Consider the following 24,768-nt stretch of genomic DNA (forward strand, 5'->3'; position numbering starts at 1 on the left):
CGCCCTCGCAGCCCGCGACAGTCAGCACCGCCCCAGCCAGGCGCCTGCGCGCCCACGCACTACCTGCCGGGAGTTGTAGTTTCGGCTCGGCAGACCCGGCGAGCCCAGTGGCCGCGCTCCGGTGCGGCGGCGCCCGAGGCCCGAGGCGGAAGTGGGACGGCCAAGCAGGGAAGCGAGGGCTCGGGATCGACGGCCGCGGGGCGCCGACGAGGAGTGCAGGACTCAGGAAGGGCGAGTGCGCGGCGACAGAGCCCGGGGAAGGAGGCAGGGCAAGGCCGGGCTTGGGGGCAGGTGGTCCGGGCATCCAGCCTTGAAGATGCACAAGAGGAAAGGACCCCCGGGACCCCCGGGCAGAGGCGCCGCGGCCGCCCGCCAGGTGAGTTTGCGCCCCACGGCCCGACCTGGGGATCCCTCCCCACCCCCGTCACTCGCTCAGGGAAGGGCCCCACCCCCCAGGGAAGCCCGATCTCCGCCCCACAGGTAAGCCCCGGTCCCCGCCTCCCCCCAGGTGAGGCTCCAACACCACCCAAGTGTGGCCTACTGGCCTTGGCTCCCCAGCTCCTGGGGCCCTGCCCCGGGTTCGGGGCCACCTGTTGCCACAGCTGCTCCAGTCGAGGAGGGGCAGTCCTCGGACTTGACACATCAAACCCTTGCATCAGTCGGGCCATGTCAGACTCTTTTTATTCCATTGTACAGATGAGGACTTTGAGACTCAGAGACGTGAAGACATCTGCCCAAGGTCATAGGGATTAACAGCTTGGCCAGGGCTAAGCACAAATCCAGGGCTGCAGCCATAAGCTTATGGCACTGTGGCTGGACCCCTTCTCACTCTCCCGACTTCTTTGCCCCAGGCACCAGATAGTTTGATTTTTCTCAGTTTTGATGGAAGGAGCCCAGGACATAGCTTGGTGTTCAGATATTAGAGTCTGGCTGACCTGAAGTTCCCTCCTGGCCTCTGTACATCGGACACTTGACTTTACAGCTCTGAGCCTCAGCTTTCTCATCTGTAAAATGGAGATCTCTATAATCCCAGCACTTCAGGAGATGGAGGCGGAGGCAGAGGTGGGAGAGTCATTTGAGGCCAGAGTTTGAGACCAGCCTGGGCAAAAGCAAGACCCCCGTCTCGACAAAAAAAGACTAACTGGGCATGGTGGCATGTGCCTGTAGTACTACTACTTGGGAGGCTAAGAAGGGAGGATTGCTTGAGCCCAGGAGTTCAAGACCGCAGTGAGCTATGATTGCGCTACTTCTGCTCCAGCCTGGGTGACAGAACAAGACTCTTTCTCTAAAATAAAGATAAAAAATTAAAAATGGAAGTCCGGGGTGGTGTCTCACACCTGTAATCCCAGCACTTTGGGAGGCCATGGCGAAACCCCATCTCTACTAAAAATACAAAAATTAGCTGGGCATGGTGGCGGGCACCTGTAATCCCAGCTACTCGGGAGGCTGAGGTGGGAGAATCGCTTGAACCGAGAGGCGGAGGTTGCAGTGAGCTGAGATCGCGCCACTGCATTCCAGACTGGGTGACAGAGCAAGGCTCCTTCTCAAAATAAATAAATAAATTCCTTCTGAAAATAAATAAATAAATAAAAAATTAAAAATGGAGACCTCCAAGAGACCCTACATTACAGGACAGTTGTAGAGAGTCATTGAGATAGTTTATGGAAAGTGCTAGAACATAGCACTCAATAAATGTTACTATTATCATTATTACTAGTTGGTGGAACCATACATAATTGCCAATATTTGGCCATTTTTTACCTACAGGAAAGGCAATTTCATATGGTTAAACACGATGTTATCACATCATGATTGGTCATTAGCCAAGATAGGAAGACGGGTCTGCATGGCAAACCTGCATTGTGGTTAGGGGTTCTTTTTTTGTTTGTTTGTTTTTGAGACAGAGTCTTGCTCTCTCGCCCCAGGCTGGAGTGCAGTGGCGCAATCTCGGCCCACTGCAACCTCCGCTTCCCGGGTTCAAGCGATTCTCCTGCCTCAGCCTCCCGAGTAGCTGGGATTACAGGCATGCGCCACCATGCCTGGTTAATTTTGTATTTTTTAGTAGAGACGGGGTTTCTCCCTGTTGGTCAGGCTGGTCTGTCTCGAACTCCCCATCTCAGGTGACCCGCCTGCCTCGGCCTCCCAAAGTGCTGGGGTTACAGGCGTGAGCCACCGTGCCCGGCCTAATTTTTGTATTTTTAGTAGTGATGGGATTTCACCATGTTGGCCAGGCTAGTCTCGAACTGCTGACCTCAGGTGATCCCCCCACCTTGGTCTCCCAAAGTGCTGGGATTACAAGCGTGAGCCACTGCACCTGGCCCTGTCGTCAGGGCTTCTAATTGCTCTTCTTTTTTTTTTGGAGACAGAGTCTTGCTCTGTTGCCCAGGCTGGAGTTTGGTGGCGCAATCTCAGCTCACTGCAACCTCCACCTCCCAGGTTCAAGCAATTCTCCTGCCTCAGCCTCCCGAGTAGCTGGGATTGCAGACACCGCCAGCACTCCCAGCTAATTTTTGTATTTTTAGTAGAGACGGGGTTTCACCATGTTGGCTAGGCTGGTCTCGAACTCCTGGATTACAGGCGTGAGCCACCGCATGCAGCCATCATGCTCTTGAAGCCCAACCTTCCCACACAGCCCCTCTGCTGAGGATGCTGGAAAGAAAAGCCCAAGTGTACAGAGTAGCTTTGCTTTGGGCAAAGTGTGGAGCCTGCTTCCTTCCCTCCTTCCCTCCCTCCCTCGCTTCCTTCTTTTTTTCCTTCCTTCCCTCCTTCCTCCCTCCCTCTCTCCCTCCCCGGCTCCATCTCTCTTTCTTTCTTTCCTTTCAACAGGGCTTTACTCTGTTGCCCAGGCGGAGTGCCGTAGCACAGTCATGGCTCACTGCAGCCTTGATCTCCCCAGGCTCAAGTGATCCTCCTGCCTCAGCCTCCCGAGTAGCTGGGACCACAGGCACACAGCACAACTCCCAGCTAATTTTAAAAAGTTTTTTTTCCTGTAATCCCAGCACTTTGGGAGGCCGAGGCGGGCAGATCATGAGGTCAGGAGATCGAGACCATCCTGGCTAACAAGGTGAAACCCCGTCTCTGCTAAAAATACAAAAAAAAAATTAGCCGGGCGTGGTGGCGGGCGCCTGTAGTCCCAGCTACTCGGGATGTTGAGGCAGGAGAATGGCATGAACCCCGGAGGCGGAGGTTGCAGTGAGCTGAGACTGCACCACTGCACTCCAGCCTGGGTGACAGAGCGAGACTCTGTGTCAAAAAAAAACAAAAAACAAAAAACTTTTTTTTTTTTTGTAGAGTTGGGGGTCTCACTGTATTGCCCAGGCTGGTCTGGAACTCCCAGACACAAGCCATCCTCTTGCCTTGGCCTCCCAAAGTGCTGGGATGACAGGCGTGAGCCACTGCGCCCAGCCAGGGGCCTGCTTTTCCCACTGAACTTGGCCCAGCAGCACATCATAAGTGTGGATTCAGATCAGAGAGCTGGGTCTCTTGCCCTTTGCCCCAGGTTGAACTGTGCCAGAGGGCCTGGCCTATCTTGGAACACCTGTTCTGGGCTTGTTCCAGCCTCCTGGCACTCCCCAGGGAAATGGCTTTCCCTGGGAGACCTTGTTTCCTTCCTCCCAAGGGGACTCTCTGGCCATCATGGCTGCCTCTAGCCATGTGGTGAACCAAAGGTCTGACTGAACCCTTGCTGTTCCCCTAGCTGGGCCTGCTGGTTGACCTCTCCCCAGATGGCCTGATGATCCCTGAGGACGGGGCTAACGATGAAGAACTGGAGGCTGAGTTCTTGGCTTTGGTCGGGGGCCAGCCCCCAGCCCTGGAGAAGCTCAAAGGCAAAGGTGAGATGGTTAACACACCCTCAGAACATTTTCTGATCTCCTGCAAGTGGTTCGGGCGCAGAACTGGGGGCACTGGGTAGGTAGGGGAAAGAAGACAGAGAAGACCCCTGTTCTCCTGGAGCCAATGATCTGGGTAAGAGAGTCAAGATCGACTCTGAGGCCGGGCACGGTGGCTCACGCCTGTAATCCCAGCACTTTGGGAGGCCGAGGCAGGCAGATCATGAGGTCAGGAGATTGAGACCATCCCGGCTAACACGGTGAAACTCTGTCTCTACTAAAAATACAAAAAAAAAAAAAAAATTAGCCGGGCGTGGTGGCGGGCGCCTGTAGTCCCAGCTACTCAGGAGGCTGAGGCAGAAGAATGGCGTGAACCAGGGAGGCGGAGCTTGCAGTGAGCCGAGATCGCACCACTGCGCTACAGCCTGGGCGACAGAGCAAGACTCCGTCTCAAAAAAAAAAAAAAAAAAAAAAAGATCAAGTCTGGACCGAGACTGAGAGTTGGAATCCGAGCTCTGCCACTTACTGGTTATGTGACTTGATGAGTCACATCATGTGCTTTGGCCTCAGTTTCACCATCTGTAAAACTGGAATAATAACCATGTTATAGGAGTTAATCTGGAGTCCATAAGTATTTCACCCAGGGCCCCCTCACACACAATAAGCTCATGTCAGCCAGGCACATTGGCTCATGCATGTAATCCCAGCACTCTGGGAGGCCAAGGTGGACAGATCACTTGGGGCCAGGAGTTCGAGACCAGCCTGGCCAACATGGTGAAACCCTGTCTTTACTAAAAATACAAAAATTAGCCAAGCTTGGTGGCGAACACCTGTAATCCCAGCTACTTGGGAGGCTGAGGCATGAGAATCGCTTGAATCCAGGAGGCAGCAGTTGCAGTGGGCAGAGATTGCGCCACTGCACTCCAGCCTGGGTGACAGAGCAAGATCCTGTTTCCAAAAAACAAAAAAGAGAGAAGCTTCATTCAGGCATGAACTACTGTGCTGTTGGCTGTGAATTCAAAGTTAATGAATGAACGATATCTATTCAGGAAGGTGTCTTCAAACAGAAACACACATAGAGCAAGGTTGTGTATTGATCAGTTGATTAAAATTTTGTGACCAGAGCTGGGTGTGGTGGTGCATGCCTGTAATCCCAGCTACTCGGGAGGCTGAGGCAGGAAGATCACTTGAGGCCAAGAGTTTGAGGCTGCAGTGAGCTCTGATTGGGCCACTGCACTCCAGCCTGGGTGACAGAGCAAGATCCTGTCTCCAAAAAAGGTTATGACTGGAGATTCACAGGAACCTAAGCTTAAATTTCCCCTAGGAGCAACAGTCTTATAGTCATTAATTTAGTCTTCAAAGCAGCTTTATAGAATGTAACATAACTAATAACAAGATATTGGCAATATGCTATTCTAAGAGCTTCATTGACCTTCTCTGCTCCAACCTACCTATGAAGGAGGAACTGTTGTCATCCCCGTGTCACAGAGGGAGAAACTGAGGCTCAGAGAGGTGACATCACTTGCCGAAGTTCTCACAGAGAGAAAGTTGCAGAGCTGGGGTTTTTTTTGTTGTTGTTGTGTGTGTGTGTTTTTTTTTTTTTTTTTGGAGACAAACCCTTGCTCTGTTGCCCAGGCTGCAGTGCAGTGGCGCAATCTCAGCTCACTGCGACCTCTGCCTCCTGGGCTTAAGTGATTCTCCTGCCTCAGCCTCTTTAGCAGCGGGGATTACACGCCACCATGCCCAGCTAATTTTTTTTTTTTTTTTTTTTTTTTTTTGAGACGGAGTCTCGCTCTGTCGCCCAGGCTGGAGTACAGTGGCGCGATCTTGGCTCACCGCAAGCTCCGCCTCCTAGGTTCACGCCATTCCCCTGCCTCAGGCTCCCGAGTAGCTGGGACCACAGGCGCCCGCCAGCATGCCTGGCTAATTTTTTGTATTTGTAGTAGAGACGGGGTTTCACCGTGTTAGCCAGGATGGTCTCGATCTCCTGACCTTGTGATCCACCCGCCTCGGCCTCCCAAAGTGCTGGGGTTACAGGCGTGAGCCACTGCGCCCAGCCTAATTTTTGTATTTTTAGTAGAGACAGGGTTTCACCATGTTGGCCAGGCTGGTCTTGAACGCCTGACTTCAAGTGATCCTTCTGCCTCGGCCTCCCAAAGTGCTGGGATTATAGGCGTGAGTCACTGTGCCCGGTCTGCAGAGCTGGGTTTTGAATTCAGGTAGCCAGGCCCCAGACCTGAGGCTGAATAAGGAAGAGATGAAATGGGGAAGTCAGCGAGAAGTGGGATCACCTAGCGTGTCCAGGATGGGAAATGGGGGCTCTTGGTGTACGACCCTGGTCCACCTGGGGCATCCCCCTACCGCCAGGTCCCTTGCCGATGGAGGCCATTGAGAAGATGGCCAGCCTGTGCATGAGAGACCCGGATGAGGATGAGGAGGAGGGGACGGATGAGGACGACTTGGAGGCTGATGATGACCTGCTGGTGAGCACTGAGGGCGGGGTGGGGGCTCTGATCCGGTTGCCCCCATCCAGCAGGCCCTTATATCCTGCCCTGGCTGTGTGTCCCTGCAGGCGGAGCTAAATGAGGTCCTTGGAGAGGAGCAGAAGGCTTCAGAGACCCCACCTCCTGTGGCCCAGGTACAGTTTGGATGACTCCACTCCCTTGAACCACAACCCAACGGACAGCCCGGGGTTCAAGACCTAGCCTTTTTTATGAGATGGAGTCTTGCTGTGTCACCCAGGCTGGAGTGCAGTGGTGCCATCTCAGCTCACTACAACCTCTGCCTCCCAGGTTCAAGGGATCCTCCCACCTCAGCCTCCCCAGTAGCTGGGATTACAGGTGTGTGCCACCACGCCTGGCTAATTTTTGTATTTTTTGGTAGAGATGGTGTTTCTCTGTGTTGGCCAGGCTGGTCCTGACCTCAAGTGATCCACCTGCCTTGGCCTCCCAAAGTGTTGGGATTACAGGCGTGAGCCACCGCGCCTGGCCCACCCTTATCCTTCACAGCCATGTGACCCATATCAGGTGGGTGACATGATGCTTCTGAAACCCCATTCCCTCCACTGGGAAATGGGGACCATGATTTCTGCCTCACTGGGGCAGGGGAGGCTGGTCCAGGGATGACATGGGGCCGACTGTTACTGCAGAAGGGGCTAACAGGGGCATCCCAAGTGGGGTCACCACCCACACTGTGCCCCTGCCCTCCCACAGCCGAAGCCTGAGGCCCCTCATCCGGGGCTGGAGACCACCTTGCAGGAGAGGCTGGCGCTCTATCAGACAGCAATTGAAAGCGCCAGACAAGCTGGAGACAGCGCCAAGATGCGGCGCTACGATCGGGGGCTTAAAGTAAGTGGGCAGAGGGCAGGGTACAGGGACCCCCCGCCAACCCCGATGCCCTGCACCAAGCTCTTGGCTTCTCCCAAACCAATACTCACGCCTTATCTTAGACACTGGAAAACCTGCTCGCCTCCATCCGTAAGGGCAATGCCATTGACGAAGCGGACATCCCGCCGCCAGTGGCCATAGGAAAAGGCCCGGCGTCCACGCCTACCTACAGCCCTGCACCCACCCAGCCGGCCCCTAGAATCGCGTCAGCCCCAGAGCCCAGGGTCACCCTGGAGGGACCTTCTGCCACCGCCCCAGCCTCATCTCCAGGCTTGGCTAAGCCCCAGATGCCCCCAGGTAGGTGATGGGCAGGGCCGGGCTGATATGGGATCCGAGTGGGCCATCTGGCAGGATGCTGCTCTAGGGGGGTGCCGGCTGTGCACTGATTGTGAGATATTTTCAACACCCTGAGTCCTGGGGTCTTCAAGCCCCTGGAGTTCATGAATACCTCCCAAGCAGGACATGGATACCCAGAGAGTTTTTTTTGTTGTTATTATGATATTATGATAAAATATAGATCACATTTGCCATTAAAAATTATTTTAGTTCTTTTTTTTGAGATGGAGTTTCGTTCTTGTTGCCCAGGCTGGAGCGCAGTGGCACGATCTCAGCTCATTACAACCTCCACCTCCCAAGTTCAAGCGATTCTCCTGCCTCAGCCTCCCAAGTAGCTGGGATTACAGGCATATGCCACACTTGGCTAATTTTGTATTTTGAGTAGAGATGGGGTTTCACCTTGTTGGCCAGGCTGGTCTTGAATTCCTGACCTCAGGTGATCCACCCACTTCGGCCTCCCAATTTGCTGGGATTACAGGCATGAGCCACTGTGCCCGGCTTTTTTTAATTCTTTGAGACAGGGTCTTACTCCATCACCCAGGCTGGAGTGCAGTGATGTGATCATAGCTCAGTGTAGCCTCAACCTCCTGGGCTCAAGGGATCTTCCCTCACCTTCACCAGTAGCTGGGACTACAGGCATGCACCACACACTTGGCTAATTTTTTTTTTTTTTTTGAGTCGGAGTCTCGCTCTGTCACCCAGGCTGGAGTGCAGTGGTGCGATCTCGGCTCACTGCAACCTTTGCCTCCTGGGTTCAAGCAATTCTCCTGCCTCAGCCTCCTGAGTAGCTGGCATTACAGGTGCATGCCACCACACCTGGCTAATTTTTTGTATTTTTAGTAGAGACGGGGTTTCACTGTGTTAGCCAGGATGGTCTCGATCTCCTGACCTTGTGATCTGCCTGCCTCGGCCTCCCAAAGTGTTAGGATTACAAGCATGAGCCACCACGCCAGGCCTCATCGCCTTTTTTTTTTTTTTGAAACAGAGTCTCACTCTATTGCCCAGGCTGGAGTGCAGTAGCATGATCCTAGTTCACTGCAACCTGCCTCCCAGGCTCAAGCAATCCTCCCGCCTCAGCCTCCTGAGTAGCTGGGATTACAGGCATATGCCACCGTGCCCCATGCCCAGCTAATTTTTGTACTTTTTGTAGAGGTGCCATGTTGCCCAAGCTAGAACATATCTTCTAAGAGGTTTTTCTTCCTAACCTCCCCCTAGGAAAGGAAGGCCTCCCTCCCTCTCTTTGTGATATGAACACGGGGCTTTGCCCCAGGTCCAAACACTTCCCTGGCAGGAAGCAAAGAGACAACTCAAAATACTGGCATGGGTTTGAGAAAGCAAACACTGGGTCACTAAATCCTTCTGCAACCAAGCTAGTTTCCAAGCCATTGTTTTTGACAAAGTTCAAGGATTACTGGAATTGTCACCTGAAATTGTCAACTGAAACGACCAAAAATTTTTCACAATGGAAGTTTGGCATAAAACTTGTCAGGAGTTCAAAGAATACAAAGACATCACAGTAACAAAATTCTGTGTCTTCCAATCTATTTGTTAATGTGAAGTAGGTTTCTCAATACTTTAATTTTTTTGAGACGGAGTCTCGCTCTTGTTTCCAGGCTGGAGTGCGATGGCGTGATCTCGGCTCACTGCAACCTCCGCCTCCCAGGTTCAAGTGATTCACCTGCCTCAGCTTCTCGAGTAGCTGGGATTACAAGCGCCCACCACCAAGCCCGGCTAATTTTTGTATTTTTAGTAGAGACGGGGTTTCACCATGTTGCTGCCCAGGCTGGTCTCGAACTCCTGACCTCAGGTGATCCGCCTGCTCCGCCTCCCAAAGTGCGGGGATTACAGGCGTGAGCCACCACCCCTGGCCTCAACACTTTAAAAAAGAAAAAAAGTGCAGATGTAGTGGCTCATGCCTGTAATCCCAGCACTCTGGGAGGCCAGGAGTTCAAGAGCAGTCTAGGCAACATAGCAAGAACCCATCTCTACATAAAAATTAAGAAATTAGCCGGGTGTGGTAGTGCATGCCTTTAGTCCCAGCTCCTCGAGAAGCTGAGGTGGGAGGTTCGCTTGAGTCCAGGAGTTCAAGGCTGCAGTGAGCCGTGATCGTGCCACTCCAAGTCTGGGCAACAGAGCAAGATCTTATCTCTAAAAAAAGAAAAAACAGAAGAGGATTGAATGGGAGAAACGAGTTGATTGTTAGGGATTGGACCCAGCTCCAATTATGTCAGCAAGAGGTACATTTCTGGTAGAATTTTGCTCTTGGTGTACCAAAACTATCAAATAGCTCAGCAGGGGCTGGGCGTGGTGGTTCACACCTGTAATCCCAGCACTTTGGGACACCAAAGCGGGCGGATCACTTGAGGCCAGGAGTTCAAGACCAGCCCTGGCCAACATGGTGAGACCTCATCTCTACTAAAAATACAAAAATTAGCTGGGCGTGGTGGTGCATGCTGGTAGTCCCAGCCACTCGGGTGGATGAGGCAAGAGAATCACTTGAACCCAGAAGGCAGGGGTTGCAGTGAGCCACGATCACACCACTGCACTCCAGTCTGGGCGACAGAGCAAGACTCTGTCTCAACAAACAAACCAACCCAAAAAGCTCAGCTGGGTGTGGTGGCTCACACCTATAATTCCAGCACTCTGGGAGGCCAAGGTGGGAGGATCGCTTGAACCCCGGAGTTCGAGATCTGTCTGGGCAACATAGGGAAACTGCGTCTCTATAAAAAATTAAAAATTAGCCAGCCATGGTGGTGCATGCCTGTAGTCCCAGCTACTTGGGAGGCTGAGGTGGGAGAATCACTTGAGCCTGGAAGGTTGAGGCTGAAGTGAGCTGTGATTGCACCACTGCACTCCAGCCTGGGTGACAGAATGAGACCCTGTCTCCAAAAAAATAAAATAAAATAAGCTTGATGTATTTACGTTTTGCTCAATTACATGCTAGTAATAATTATAACAATAATTCAACCCGGAAAAACATTGTTTTTAACAATGAAAGATTTATAATCACAGGAAATAAAACCAATACAATGTCAAAGGTGTGTCACTTCTACCTCCAAACATATTTTCAGGGAAGTAAGCCTAAGTTTAAAGCAATGGGTCCAGTTGTTAGTCTGAAAAAAAGATACTGCGTGCCATTTTCTGGGTGTTTCCAGATTTTGCAGACACTGGGTGGTGTCTTTATTGTACTGTGTTATTTTATACTAAGAATTGCACTTATAGCTTTAAACATTGAGGTACTTCCCCAGAAAACATACTGAGCATATTATTTGAAACTGTAACTAACACACTGTTTAAAAAGCACTGAATACTGGGTTTCCTAACTTTGCAAACACACTGCATAAATATATTTTGGTTGTATAAATATACAATAGGGTAGGCAAAAAAGGCTTTCAAACACACAGCTATATCATGTTAGCATAAATTTCTGTGGGGGACGTGGATGGAAATAAGAGAAGACTCAAAATTCCCAACTGCTTAAAGTGAGTCCCAGGATATATTTAAAAAGTGAGTTGGGCATGGTGGCACATGCCTGTAATCTCTGCACTTTGGGAAGCTGAGGTGGGAGGATCACTTGAGCCCAGGAGTTTGAGACTAGCCTGGACAACATAGTAAGACCCCATCTCTACAAAAAAAAATAAAAAACCAGCCGGGCATGCAGGTGCATGCTCTGTAGCCCCAGCTACTCAGGAAGCTGAGATGGGAGGATCGCCTAAGCCCGGTGTCTGAGGCTATAGTGAGCAGCAGAGCAAGACTCTATCTCTTTAAAAAAAAATACATTAAATATGGCCAGGCACGGTAACTCACACCTGTAATCCTACTTTGGGAGGCCAAGGTGAGCAGATCACTTGAGGTCAGGAGTTTGAGACCAGCCTGGCCAACATGGTGAAACCCCGTCTCTACTAAGAATACAAAAATTAGCCAGAAATTGGGAGGCGGAGGTTGCAGTGAGCCAAGATTGTGCCACTGCACTCCAGTCTGGGCAACAGAGCAAGACCCAGTCTCAAAAAATACATTAAAGCCAGGCGCGGTGGTTCACACCTATAATCCCAGCACTTTGGGAGTCCAAGGTGGGCGGATCACCTGAGGTCAGGACTTTGAGACCAGCCTGGCCAACACGGCGAAACCCTGTCTCTACTAAAAACATAAAAATTAGCCGGGCATGTGCCTGTAATCCCAGCTACTCAGGAGGCTGAGGCAGGAGAATCACTTGAACCCAGGAGGCGGAAGTTGCAGTGAGCTGAGATTGCGCCACTGTACCCCAGCATGGGCAACAGAGTGAGGCTCTGTCTGAAAAAGAAAAAAAAAATTAAATAAATAAATAACAAATGGTTTACACGGTGAACTTGGCCCAGGCCCTGGAGGCTTCCTGTATGTTGTTCTCCCTTCCAGGTCCCTGCAGCCCTGGCCCTCTGGCCCAGTTGCAGAGCCGCCAGCGCGACTACAAGCTGGCTGCCCTCCACGCCAAGCAGCAGGGAGATACCACTGCTGCCGCTAGACACTTCCGCGTGGCTAAGGTGCGTCCAGCCTGACGGACAGGACTGGAGGGATGGGGCAGGATGCTTCCCACGTGGCCTGGTGGCAAAGCACCCAAATTTGCATCCTAGCTTGGTCACTCCCTAGCAATAGTTTGCTGTAAGTCTTGGAGCCTCAGTTTACCCCCTCTGTGAAATGGGCACGTGTGTTGGAAGAGGATTAAGCAAGATGGCACAAATGGAAGGGAGGGAGCTAGAAGTCCTCGGTGGCATGGAAGGGCCCGGAGGCTCCCCACAGGGTCCAAGCCCCCAACTGCACCTCTTCTTCTAATCTCCTCTTCCTTCTCCCAGAGCTTTGATGCTGTCTTGGAGGCCCTGAGCCGGGGTGAGCCCGTGGACCTCTCCTGCCTGCCCCCTCCACCCGGTGAGAACCCTGCCATGCCCACTCTCTGGGATGGTTTCAGGCATACACTAAGTTCTCCTTGATGCTGCCACCCCTGTTGGTCAGGCCCAGAGACCACCCTCAGGCCAGACCAGCTTGTCGGGGGTGCAGCTAACAAGCCCCTCATTGGCCTGGACCTCTCTGTCCCCAGACCAGCTGCCCCCAGACCCACCGTCACCACCGTCGCAGCCTCCGACCCCCGCTACGGCGCCCTCCACAACAGGTAGGTTCTGGGACCCTCTGGGGTTGGGGGCAGGCTGGAGCCAGACTGTCTACCCATCCGTTGACTCTTAACCTTGTCCCCCTGTCCGGCCCAGAGGTGCCCCCACCCCCGAGGACCCTGCTGGAGGCGCTGGAGCAGCGGATGGAGCGGTACCAGGTGGCCGCAGCCCAGGCCAAGAGCAAGGGGGACCAGCGGAAAGCTCGAATGCACGAGCGCATCGTCAAGGTGCCCTGGGGGTTCCGGGGGAGGTGGGGCGAGTGGGCAGCCCGGGAGCCCTCCCACAGGCAGCCCTAACACCTGTGGCCCTCGCAGCAATACCAAGATGCCATCCGAGCCCACAAGGCTGGCCGAGCCGTGGATGTCGCTGAATTGCCCGTGCCCCCAGGTAGGCCTTGCCCCTGTAGGCCTCGCCCCAGTAGGCCCCGCCCCCGTAGGCCCCGCCCCCAGAGGCCCCGCCGCTGGCAGGCTGTGCCCCAAGCTCCTGTTCCTCCAGCCTCTGAGCCTTGGCAGATGCTATTACTCCCCATAGCACAGGCTCAGGGAGCTGAATACAACATATTCAAGGGTTTTGTAAACTTGTTAATCAGTGGGAGCTTGACATTGGACATGATGTGTCTGCACTGTAGAAATTGGCAAACCGGCTGGACGAGGTGGTCATGTCTGTAATCCCAGCACTTTGGGAGGCTGAGGTGGGAAAATCACTTGAGGCCAGGAGTTCAAGACCAGCTTGGGCAACGTGGCAAGACCCCGTGGCTACAAGAAATTTAAAAATTAGCCTGGTGTGGTGGTGCACACCTGCAGTCCCACTCTAGATCATGCCACTGTACTCCAGCCTGGGCAACAGAGCGAGATCCTGTCTCAAAAAAAAAAAAATTAATTAATTAAAAAAAGTAAAGGCCCAAGACTCTATAGGTGGGAGAGGAATCTGCATCTCCACCATAATGGTGTGAGTTGGTCTCCATCCTGACACACAATAACCAGGCCTCGACTGGCCACCCAGGCTTCCCCCCAATCCAGGGCCTGGAGGCCACCAAGCCCACCCAGCAGAGTCTGGTGGGTGTCCTGGAGACTGCCATGAAGCTGGCCAACCAGGATGAAGGCCCAGAGGATGAAGAGGATGAGGTGCCTAAGAAGGTTTGAGGGTTGGGGCCGGGCGCAGTGGCTCACACCTGTAGTCCCAGCACTTTGGGAATCCAAGATGGGAGGATCGCTTGAGGCCAGGAGTTTGAGACCATCCTGGGCCACACAGTGAGACCCCCGTCTCTACAAAAAAATTTTTTAAAATTAGCCAGGCATGGTGGGACTCACCTGTAGTCCCTGCTACTTGGGAGACTGAGGTGGGAGGATCACCTGAACTAAGGAGTTCAAGGCTGCAGTGAGCCATGGTCATGCCACTGTACGCCAGTCTGGGTGACAGAGCAAGACCTCATCTCCAAGACAATTAAAAAAAAAAAAAAGTGTTTGGTGAGAATTGCTTGAACCGGGAGGCAGAGGTTGCAGTGAGCCAAGATCGTGCTACTGCACTCCAGCCTGGACGATACAGTGATACTCTGTCTCAAAAAAGAAAAAAAAAAAAAAAAAGGTGTTTGGGGCCAGGGGCTTTGAGTGAGGCAGGGGAGTAGCAAAGTCCTGGGAGCCCACTAAATGACCACTGTTGTCACCATCAGACCCTGATCCTTGGGGACTGGACTCATCACAGGCGCTACGAAATCTCTAACATCCTCTCTCTTCCTCTACAGCAGAACAGCCCTGTGGCCCCCACAGCCCAGCCCAAAGCCCCACCCTCAAGAACTCCCCAGTCGGGATCAGCCCCAACAGCCAAAGCGCCCCCCAAAGCCACATCCACCAGAGGTAAGTTCCCCCTCCCCGCCCCAGCTGCCTGTTGCCTGGCTGTGGCCTGGGCAGCACCCATAGCAGCTCCTATGCCCACAGCCCAGCAGCAGCTGGCCTTCCTAGAGGGCCGCAAGAAGCAGCTCCTGCAGGCCGCACTGCGAGCCAAGCAGAAAAACGACGTGGAGGGTGCCAAGATGCACCTGCGCCAAGCCAAGGGACTGGAGCCTATGCTGGAGGCCTCGCGCAATGGGCTGCCTGTGGACATCACCAAGGTGAACCTTCTGGGCTTGTGGGAACTGCCCAGGCACCCACTTGTCAGGCTCCTGCCCCTTAGCAGCCACGTGAACTAGAAGTGTATTAGTCAAGGTCCAGCTGCTGTAACAAATAGGTCCTCCCAAGACAATGGCTGAAAGGAGACAGACATTTATTATGTTTCTTGCATGTACCACCCAGGGCAGTCTGGGCTCTGCAAATGGGAGGTCCTCCAGGGCCTGAGTTTCTTCCACCTTATTGCTTTGCTGCACCTGAGGGGGTTGTCCTTGTCCACATGATCCAAGTGGATCCTGTCAGAAGGACTAGAGAAAGAGGCAGAGCTAGTAGTCCCTTTTAAAGGAAGTGACATCACTATTGCTTGTCTCCCATTGGCCAGAACTAAGTAACATGGCCACATTTAGCCACAGAGGAGGCTGGGACATGTAGTCTCTTGTTGGTGCACTGTGTGACCAGCCTGAGCTCCATTACTAGGGAAGGGGAGGGGATCAGATCTGGGGAGACACTTAGATTCTGCCACTTAGGACAGGACCATTCCTTTTTCTCTGAGCATCATTTTTCTCAGAGAAGTGGGGATGGCCACCCCTGCCTCAAAGAAAGACAGCCAGGATTCCTCATGTGATAGAATAGTACTCATAATAGGAAACATTTGAGGAGCTTGAACTGGGCGCCCAGCAAAGGCCACCCAGTTTAAGGAAGTGACATCACTTTTGCTTGCCTCCCATTGGCCCAAACAGTCACATGGCTACATTTAGCCTCAGAGGAGCCTGGGACATGTAGTCTTTGCTGGACACTGGAGACATGGCCTTGAGCAAAAAAGGCAAAAATCCACACTCTCTCTGGACATGGTGGGTCACACCTGTAATTCCAGCTACTTGGGAGGCTGAGGTGGGAGGATTCCTTGAGGCCAGGAGCTCGAAACTAGCCTGGGAAACACAGTGAGACTCACTGTCATGGAGTGGATGTTCTAATTGAGAGACCACAAGAAACACACAAATAAATACAGCACCTTATCACGGCCCATGAAGACTGCACCATCTGCCCCATCAGCTCCCTTGCCTGGTCTCTTTCTTGTTTTTGTTTTGTTTTGTTTTGTTTTGAGACGGAGTCTCGCCCTGTCATCCAGGCTGGAATGCAGTGGCACGACCTCAGCTCACTGCAACCTCTACCTCCCAGGCTCAAGCGATTCTCCTGCCTTAGCCTCCCGAGTAGCTGGAACTACAGGCACACGCCACCATGCCCGGCTAATTTTTATATTTTTAGTAGAGATGGGGTTTCACTATGTTGGCCAGGCTGGGCTTGAACTCCTGACCTCAGGCAATCCACCTGCCTCGACCTCCCAAAGTGCTGGGATTACAGGCATGAGCCACTGTGCCCGGCCTGCCCCTTCTCTTTCACCCACCCCCTCGCTCACTCTTCCCCTTGCTGTCTGGTAGCCTCAAACACCAGGCACTCTGCAACCTCAGGGCCTTTGCACATGCAGTTCCCACTGCCTGAATGCTTTTCCCACAGACACCTGTGTGGTTCACTTTCTCCCATCATTAGGTCTCTGCTCAGACATCACATCTCCAGGAGGCCTACCCTGAGCTGTCTAAAATCCCTCCCTGTCACCCAGATCCCTCTGCTCCTCCTCCCAGCTCTGCCTCTCCCTGTGGCATGTATCACCTTCTACTCTCTCATATGATTTACTTATTTCTTCTGATTATTGCCCATCTCCCCCAAGAGAATGTCAGCCCCACGAGGGCAGGGATTTTGTTCTCTCTTCTTCATCCTTGTGTCCCCAGCCCCAAAGCAGAGCCTAGCGCACAGTAGGGGCTCCATACATGATTTCTCAAACTCTTGAGCTCAAGCAATCCACCCGCCTTAGCCTCCCAAAGTTCTGGGATTATAGACATGAGCCACTGCACCCGGCACCATACATGATTTCTGGGGTGACTGAAGGATGCCCTTGTTAAATGGGACAATGGAAGGATCAAGAAGAAAGAACAGAGGCCGGGCATGGTCTTTCATGCCTGTAATCCTAGCAATTAAGGAGGCCAAGGCCAGCGGATCACTTGAGGTCAGGAGTTCGAGACCAGTCTGGCCAACATGGTGAAACCCTGTCTCTACTAAAAATACAAAAATTAGCCAGGTGTGGTGGCAGGCGCCTGTAATTCCAGCTACTCAGGAGGCTGAGGCAGGAGAATCACTTGAACCCGGGAGGTGGAAGTTGCAGTGAGCTGAGATCCCGCCATTGCACTCCAGCCTGGGCAACAGAGCGAGACTCCATCTCAAAAAAAAAAAAAGACCAGAGAAGGGTGACAGAGCCGTGGTCAGGGAATGCCCCTCGTCAAGGAAGAATGACATTTCTGCAGAGCCCTAGGTGGGCCTGCTTGTCCTCCTTACCCCCGCCACCAGCCTCGTCCTCCCCAGGTGCCGCCTGCCCCTGTCAACAAGGACGACTTTGCCCTGGTCCAGCGGCCTGGCCCGGGTCTGTCTCAGGAGGCCGCCCGGCGCTATGGTGAACTCACCAAGCTCATACGGCAGCAGCACGAGGTGAGGGGGAGGCCCCCAGCCCATCCCCCAGGAGCGTGACCCTCCTTCCCCTCTCTTCCCTTCCCTCGACTCACTGCCTTCTGTTTCCCCAGATGTGCCTGAACCACTCAAACCAATTCACCCAGCTGGGCAACATCACTGAAACCACCAAGTAAGTGCCCTGACCTGTGCCAGACACTTGCACCCCCAGCCACCCATCCCCAGGGCCAGGGACATGAGCAGGGCCCTCCCACCGGCAGGTTTGAAAAGTTGGCGGAGGACTGTAAGCGGAGCATGGACATTCTGAAGCAAGCCTTCGTCCGGGGTCTCCCCACGCCCACCGCCCGCTTTGAGCAAAGGACCTTCAGCGTCATCAAGTAAGGCTCCTGATCTACGCCCCACCACGTGGCCCCAGTGGCCCTTTGGTGGCGGTGGGGCGGGTTGTGCTCCCCAGAAGCTGGCACAAGATTTACATCTGGAAGAAATTTTGGATAGGTGGAAGAGCACAGAGCATGCAAAGGCTCTGGGGCAGGCATGAGATACAAGTGAAGGATGGTGAGGGTGCAGTCACAGTGACGCATTTGGGAAAGATCTAGAGAGTGCAAAGGTGTATCTTGTCCCAGGGCCTGGGTGAGTCCACGGGGGACCAGAGATGAGTCACGGCTTTGGTGGGTGTTAGTCTTGGTACTATCAAGTCTTCCCATGCCCAGAGGAGCGGGGATTGTTTTCTCCACTTTATTTTTATTTTTATTTTGAGACAGAGTCTCACTCTGTTGCCCAGGCTGGAGTGCAGGGGTGTGATCTCTGCTCACTGCAAGCTCCACCTCCTGGATTCATGCCATTCTCCTGCCTCAGCCTCCCGAGAAGCTGGGACTACAGCCGCCCACCACCACGCCTGGCTAATTTTTTGTATTTTTAGTAGAGACGGGATTTCACCGTGTTAGCCAGGATGGTCTCGATCTCTTGACCTCGTGATCCGCCCACCTCGGCCTCCCAAAGTGCTGGGATTACAGGCGTGAGCCACCACTCCCGGCCTTTTTTAAAATTTTTTTTCTGAGACAGTCTCACTTTGTCACCCAGGCGGGAGTACAGTGGCGCAATCTCAGCTCACTTCAACCTCTGCCTCCCAGGTTCAAGCAATTCTCCTGCCTCAGCCTCCCAAATAGCTGGGACTACAGGTGCCCACCACCATGCCCAGCTAATTTTTGTATTTTTAGTAGAGACGGGGTTTCATTCAGTTGGCCAGGCTGGTCTCCTTAAATGATCCGCCTGCCTTGGCCTCCCAAAATTCTGGGGTTACAGGAGTGAGCCACTGCGTCCGGCCCATTTTCTCCACTTTCTAAATGAGGTTAGGTGCAGCCACTAGCCCTCCGGTGGTTCCCAGCTGCCCTTGGGATAACCCCCACCCCTTACCCTGGCTCCCCCATCTCCACACAGCCTGGCTCCTTGTCACCTCTTCTCTGCCTCCTGTCCCCGCTTCACTCAGCTTTGGCCACAAGGGACTCTTTTTGGTCCCTCCTACAAACAAAGTGTGTTCCTACCCCAAGCCTCTGCATCAGCTATTTCTTCCGCCTTCACCCTCTTCCTCAGGTCTCCATGTGGCAGCTCCCTCTTGACATCTAGAGTCACCTATGATGTCACCTTCCCTCTAAGAGGCCCTCCCTATCTATCCGAGCAGTCTCTTCTGAGCACACTCCACTCTCCCCTCTCTGCTGAGTTTTTTATTGTTTTTCTATTTATGTACTTATGCTCATCTGTCCACTCAGCTAGATTGAGCACAGGGTATGGGTATTTACTTCTAGATCCCCAGCAGCTAGGGTACTGACTGGCACATAGTAGGTGCTCAAGAAATATTGTGAAATGAGGCCAGGCGTGCTGGCTCACGCCTGTAATCCCAGCACTTTGGGAGGCTGAGGTGGGTGGATCACGAGGTCAGGAGATCGAGACCATTCTGGCTAACATGGTGAAATCCCGTCTCTACTAAAAATACACAAAATTATCCGGGCGTGGTGGTAGGCGCCCATAGTCCCACCTTCTTAGGAGGCTGAGGCAGGAGAATGGCATGAACCTGGGAGGCAGAGCTTGCAGTGAGCAGAGATCGCACTGCACTCCAGCCTGGGCGACAGAGTGAGACTGTCTCAAAAAAAAAAGAAATATTGTGAAATGAATAGAAGGTCCCCCAGCAACTAGGACACTAGCTGGTGCTTTAATAGGACTCAAAAAATATTAAGTGAGGCCAGGCTGGGAGGCCAAGGCAGGCGGATCATTTGAGGTCGGGAGTTCGAGACCAGCCTGGCCAACATGGTGAAACCCCATCTCTACTAAAAATATAAAAATTATCCAGCAGTGGTGGCGGGCAGCTGTAATCCCAGCTACTCAGGAGGCTGAGGCAGAAGAATCTCTTGAATCTGGGAGGTGGAGGTTGCAGTGGGCTGAGGTCGTACCATTGTACTCCAGCCTGGGCGACAGAGCAAGACTCTGTCTAAAAAAAAAAAAAAAATATATATATATATATATATATATATACACGTATATATATGTGTATATATATATACATATATGTGTGTATATATATATATACGTATATATATGTGTATATATATATATATACACGTATATATATGTATATATACACACACACACACACACACACATATATATTAAGTGAAAAGAAGGTCCCCCAGCAGCTGGGGTACTGGCTGGCACATAGTAGGTGCTCAAGAAACATTGGGAAATGAAGGAAAGATCTCCCAGCAGCTAGGGCACTGGCTGATGCTTAGTAGGACTCAACAACTGTTAAGTGAAGGGAATATCACCCAGCAGCTAGGGTACCTAGCACACAGTAGATACCAAATAAATATACACAGACTGAAGAAAAGACTCGAAAGTGATCCATTGCCAACCTGAACAGAGAACTCTAGTCTGTCTGATTCTAAAATGAGCCCAGGAGCTGAGACACCCCCGAAGGCCAGGGTGGGGTTTGTTCCCTGCCCCCACTGGGGGAAGAGAAGGCAGGCGGGCAGTGGGACTGAGGTGCCTCTGTTTCCCTGCCCACCTGCCTGCCCACCTGCCCACCCGGAAGGATCTTCCCTGACCTCAGCAGCAACGACATGCTCCTCTTCATCGTGAAGGGCATCAACTTGCCCACACCCCCAGGTGAGGGGGCTGTAGGCAAGGGTCAGGGTCATGGGGACCCCCTCTCTGCCCAGCTCTGACCGTTGTTTGCCCACAGGACTGTCCCCTGGCGATCTGGATGTCTTTGTTCGGTTTGACTTCCCCTATCCCAACGTGGTACGTGGGGAGCTGAGGAGGGGAGGGCTGCAGCCTCAGTGGGCCAAAGCCAGGTCCCAGGCCCCCTAGATTTCCTGCCTCCTCTCTGGTCATAGGAAGAAGCTCAGAAAGACAAGACCAGTGTGATCAAGAACACAGACTCCCCTGGTGAGCCTCGGCTGGAAGCACCCTACCCCTACTCCCTTGCAGCAGAAGGGACATAAGACAATGGCCTGACCCCACCCAACTTCCTCTCCCTCCTTCCTCCTGCAGAGTTCAAGGAGCAGTTCAAACTCTGCATCAACCGCAGCCACCGTGGCTTCCGAAGGGCCATCCAGACCAAGGGCATCAAGTTCGAAGTGGTTCACAAGGGGTGAGCTAGAGAGAGCCATGGCCGCTGGGTGGGCTCCAGGGGAGGGGAGCTCCTCTGAACCAACCATCCTGTCCCCACTATACACACATGCACACAGGGGGCTGTTCAAGACTGACCGGGTGCTGGGGACAGCCCAGCTGAAGCTGGATGCACTGGAGATAGCATGTGAGGTCCGGGAGATCCTTGAGGTGAGAGGTGGACATTCATCCGCGTGCTCCGGTATGGCCATGCTACTCGTTAACATTATTAAAACACTTCCTGCCTTGAGCCCTCTATGAGCCTGTCTGTTGACCCAGCCCCTCCCCTCAGAGCCTCAGACCTCCCTACTGCCCAGCCCTAAATACTTGCAGTACCCCACTCCATTATGATCAACTGGTATCTCAGCCATACCATGGGCTCATATTTTAGAAACCACTCTTGGCCAGGCATGGTGGCTCATGCCTGTAATCCCAGCACTTTGGGAGGCTGAGGCGGGCAGATCACGAGGTCAGGAGATCGAGACCATCCTGGCTAACATGGTGAAACCCTGTTTCTACTAAAATACAAAAAAATTAGCCAGGCATGGTGGCGGGCGCCTGTAGTCCCAGCTACTCGGGAGGCTGAGGCAGGAGAATGGCGTAAGTAAACCCAGGAGGCGGAGCTTGCAGTGAGCCCAGATTGCACCACTGCACTCCAGCCTGGACAACAGAGCGAGACTCTATCTCAGAAAAAAAAAAAACCAAAAAAAAAAACCAGTCTTGTTCTCCCTTGTCCTGGCCCTGGGCCTCTAGTCACTTCCTGCTTCCCACCAACAGTTTCTCCTTACCCCCACCCAGGTCCTGGATGGTCGCCGGCCCACAGGGGGGCGACTGGAGGTAATGGTCCGGATTCGGGAGCCACTGACAGCCCAGCAGTTGGAGACGACGACAGAGAGGTGGCTGGTCATTGACCCTGTGCCGGCAGCTGTGCCCACAGTGAGACCCCCCACCCCCACCCATCAGCAACCCCAGGGAGGGAAGCTTGGTTCAGGGGCCCAGGACTCACAGGACTGGTTCTCTCCTCTGAAGCAGGTTGCTGGGCCCAAAGGGAAGGCCCCTCCTGTGCCTGCCCCTGCAAGGGAGTCAGGGAACAGGTAGGTATCTGGGCCAGGGCATGCTGGAGAAAACACCCAATTCCCCTCTCAGCCCCACCTGGACAGTTTCCCACCAGGCACAAATTGGACCACGTCCCTCTCCTGCTGCAAAACCTTTCTTGGCACCCCTTTTCCCAGAGGATCCAGTTTAAACTCCTTGGTTTGGTCTTTAAAACCTTTTGTGATCTGACCATTGTCAACATATCCAGGCTTCTCTCTCCCTACTCCCTCCTGTGGTTCATGTCCATGAATAGTTTTCACTGGCCTCTGGACTTCTGTGGGTTCCAGTGCCCTGAACACCCCTACCTAGGGTAGGGGTGTTCCTTGTTCCTCTGCCCACCTCTGATTCCTTCTTTGGATCCCAACTTGGCTGTTACCTCCTCCAGGAAGCCCTCCCTGACCACTAGGCATCATAGTTTCCTGGGTGTGCAGCCATCATCCCCGCTAGGTTTTGGGATCAGTAACACCGGGTGGTTCTCGGCTGTCTCCCACCATACCCCCAGTGCCCAGTGTGTCTTTTTTTTTTTTTTTTTTTTTTGAGACAGAGTCTAGCTCTGTCGCCCAGGCTAGAGTGCAATGGCGCGATCTCAGCTCACAGCAACCTCCGCCTCTGGGGTTCAAGCGATTCTCCTGCCTCAGCCTCCTGAGTAGCTGGGATTACAGGCATGCGCCACCACACCCAGCTAATTTTTCTATTTTTAGTAGAGATGGGGTTTCTCCATGTTGGTCAGGCTGGTCTCGAACTCCCGACCTCAGGTGATCTGCCTGCCTCGGCCTCCCAAAGTGCTGGGATTACAGGCATGAGCTACCATGCTCGGCTTTTTTTTTTTTTTGAGACAGAATCTTGCTCTGTCACCCAGGTTGGAGTGCAGTGGTGTGATCTCGGCTCATTGCAACCTCCAGCTCCCAGGTTCAAGCAATTCTTCTGCCTCAGCCTCCCAAGTAGCTGGGACTACAGGAGCACACCACCATGCCCAGCTAATTTTTTTTCTATTTTTAGTAGAGACGGGGTTTCACCATATTGGCCAGGCTGGTCTCGAACTCCTGACCTCATGATCCACTCACCTCCGCCTCCCAAAGTGCAGGGATTACAGGCGTGAGCCACTGTGCCCAGCCCAGTGTGTCTTTTGAATTAACAGGGTTGGGCTGGGGGAATCTCTGCAGTCCCTTATCCTTCCTCCACCCCTTAGATCAGCCCGGCCCCTGCATAGCCTCAGTGTGCTGGCGTTTGACCAAGAGCGTCTGGAGCGGAAGGTGGGTATCCATCCTGCCGGGCTACATGGGGCAGGACTGGGGAGTCTGCAGGCCCAGGCAGGATCCTCACAGGACCCTCTGTATCCTCTAGATCCTGGCCCTCAGGCAGGCGCGGCGGCCGGTGCCCCCAGAAGTGGCCCAGCAGTACCAGGACATCATGCAACGCAGCCAGTGGCAGAGGGCACAGCTGGAGCAGGGGGGTGTGGGCATCCGACGGGGTAGGGGTTTGGAGATGGGCATCTGGTGGGGGAGGAGCTCCAGGATAGGCATGGGGGGGGAGGTGCTCAGGGATGCATATCTGGTGGGGGAGGGGCTCGGGGATGGGCATCTGGAGAGGGAGGGGCTCGGGGATGGGCACCTGGAGGGGGAGGGGCTCGGGGATGGGCACCTGGAGGGGGAGGGGCTCGGGGATGGGCATCTGGAGAGGGAGGGGCTCGGGGATGGGCACCTGGAGGGGGAGGGGCTCGGGGATGGGCACCTGGAGGGGGAGGGGCTCGGGGATGGGCACCTGGAGGGGGAGGGGCTCGGGGATGGGCACCTGGCGGGGGACGGGCTTGGGGATGGGCACAGTCCAGGAGGGTTGTGGGCAGTGAGGCCCCACCCTAAGCCTCCATTCCCCCGCCATCCATTCTCAGAATACGCAGCCCAGCTGGAGCGGCAGCTGCAGTTCTACACGGAGGCTGCCCGGCGCCTGGGCAACGATGGCAGCAGGGTGAGCTGGTCGCGGGCCGGGTGGGCACTGGGCAGCGGGCAGGGTGGGGCCTGCAGGGACTACCTGCTGAATGCCCATCCCCCACAGGATGCTGCAAAGGAGGCGCTCTATAGGCGGAATCTGGTAGAGAGTGAGGTAAGCAGCTTAGGAGATGGGGTGGTTGGGGGATCACTGTGGTCGTAGCCCACCTCCATGACCCCAGTGGCCTCCTCTCCCCCAGCTGCAGCGGCTCCGCAGGTGAGGAGCCCATGGGGCGGGCAGCCCCCAGAAAGCGGGCAGCAGGCCCCGATACCGGGAAGAGCCGACACAGCCACGAACCAGACAAGCAGACAATCAGCGGACAATCGGTTCTGGACTCACCCCTCATCCGGGCCCCCAGCCCCGCCAGAGCCTCCGTGGCTGCGGGTGTTGGGAACCATGCCTGCCAGCCAGTATGTGCCCCTCACCCAGGCCTGGCTGGGCCCTGGAGAGTCCTGTTTGCACAGCCCAGGGGTGTCCGGCCTCTGGCCCGCCCCGGAGCAGGGAGGGTGGCTGGGGCCAAGCCCCGAGGGCCCCTGCAAGCACTTTACTTCCTGTTCCTCCCCAGCCTTAACCCCAAAGCCCTCCTGCACCCCAAAGAAGCCACTGAGGCTGGCCGAGCCACACTGTCTCCCCAGGGGCGTCGACCTGGCCCAGCTGGGTCCCCAGGGCCAGCACATGGAATAAAATAGCCAGGGCCACACTCAGCCCAGCTCTGTCC

At 54.0% G+C, this 24,768-nt stretch overlaps 1 protein-coding gene across 10 annotated transcripts, besides 2 other annotated features; it reads left to right on the forward strand.

The window, feature by feature from the left end:
- CC2D1A (coiled-coil and C2 domain containing 1A) lies at positions 76–24,754 on the forward strand. Of its 10 annotated transcripts, none has more exons than NM_017721.5 (29): positions 76–376; positions 3,698–3,833; positions 6,198–6,313; positions 6,403–6,468; positions 7,043–7,177; positions 7,279–7,513; positions 11,945–12,069; positions 12,379–12,451; positions 12,621–12,692; positions 12,787–12,917; positions 13,005–13,077; positions 13,693–13,826; positions 14,432–14,543; positions 14,625–14,797; positions 17,208–17,330; positions 17,423–17,481; positions 17,570–17,686; positions 20,392–20,465; positions 20,542–20,600; positions 20,696–20,747; positions 20,853–20,952; positions 21,050–21,140; positions 21,768–21,905; positions 21,999–22,063; positions 23,254–23,317; positions 23,409–23,535; positions 23,953–24,029; positions 24,117–24,164; positions 24,250–24,754. In NM_017721.5, the coding sequence occupies exons 1-29, from the start codon at positions 317–319 to the stop codon at positions 24,268–24,270; spliced, it is 2,856 nt and encodes a 951-aa protein (NP_060191.3). In that variant the 5' UTR covers positions 76–316; the 3' UTR covers positions 24,271–24,754. The 10 variants fall into 10 exon arrangements, with proteins under 10 accessions (NP_060191.3, NP_001398067.1, XP_047294968.1 ...); NM_001411138.1 differs by having other exon boundaries at positions 22,002–22,063; XM_047439012.1 differs by having other exon boundaries at positions 14,435–14,543.
- Positions 391–450: a silencer, noted in NCBI's record as "silent region_10218". NCBI's record gives its function as "represses an Ori minimal core promoter by ATAC-STARR-seq in GM12878 lymphoblastoid cells {active_cell/tissue: GM12878}" and the evidence as "EXISTENCE:reporter gene assay evidence [ECO:0000049][PMID:35858748]".
- Positions 15,417–15,617: a silencer, noted in NCBI's record as "peak3378 fragment used in MPRA reporter construct". NCBI's record gives its function as "represses an SCP1 promoter by STARR-seq MPRAs in K562 erythroleukemia cells {active_cell/tissue: K562}" and the evidence as "EXISTENCE:reporter gene assay evidence [ECO:0000049][PMID:32103011]".

This window comes from Homo sapiens, chromosome 19 (assembly GCF_000001405.40).
Source record: "Homo sapiens chromosome 19, GRCh38.p14 Primary Assembly".
Classification (NCBI taxonomy): domain Eukaryota; kingdom Metazoa; phylum Chordata; class Mammalia; order Primates; family Hominidae; genus Homo; species Homo sapiens.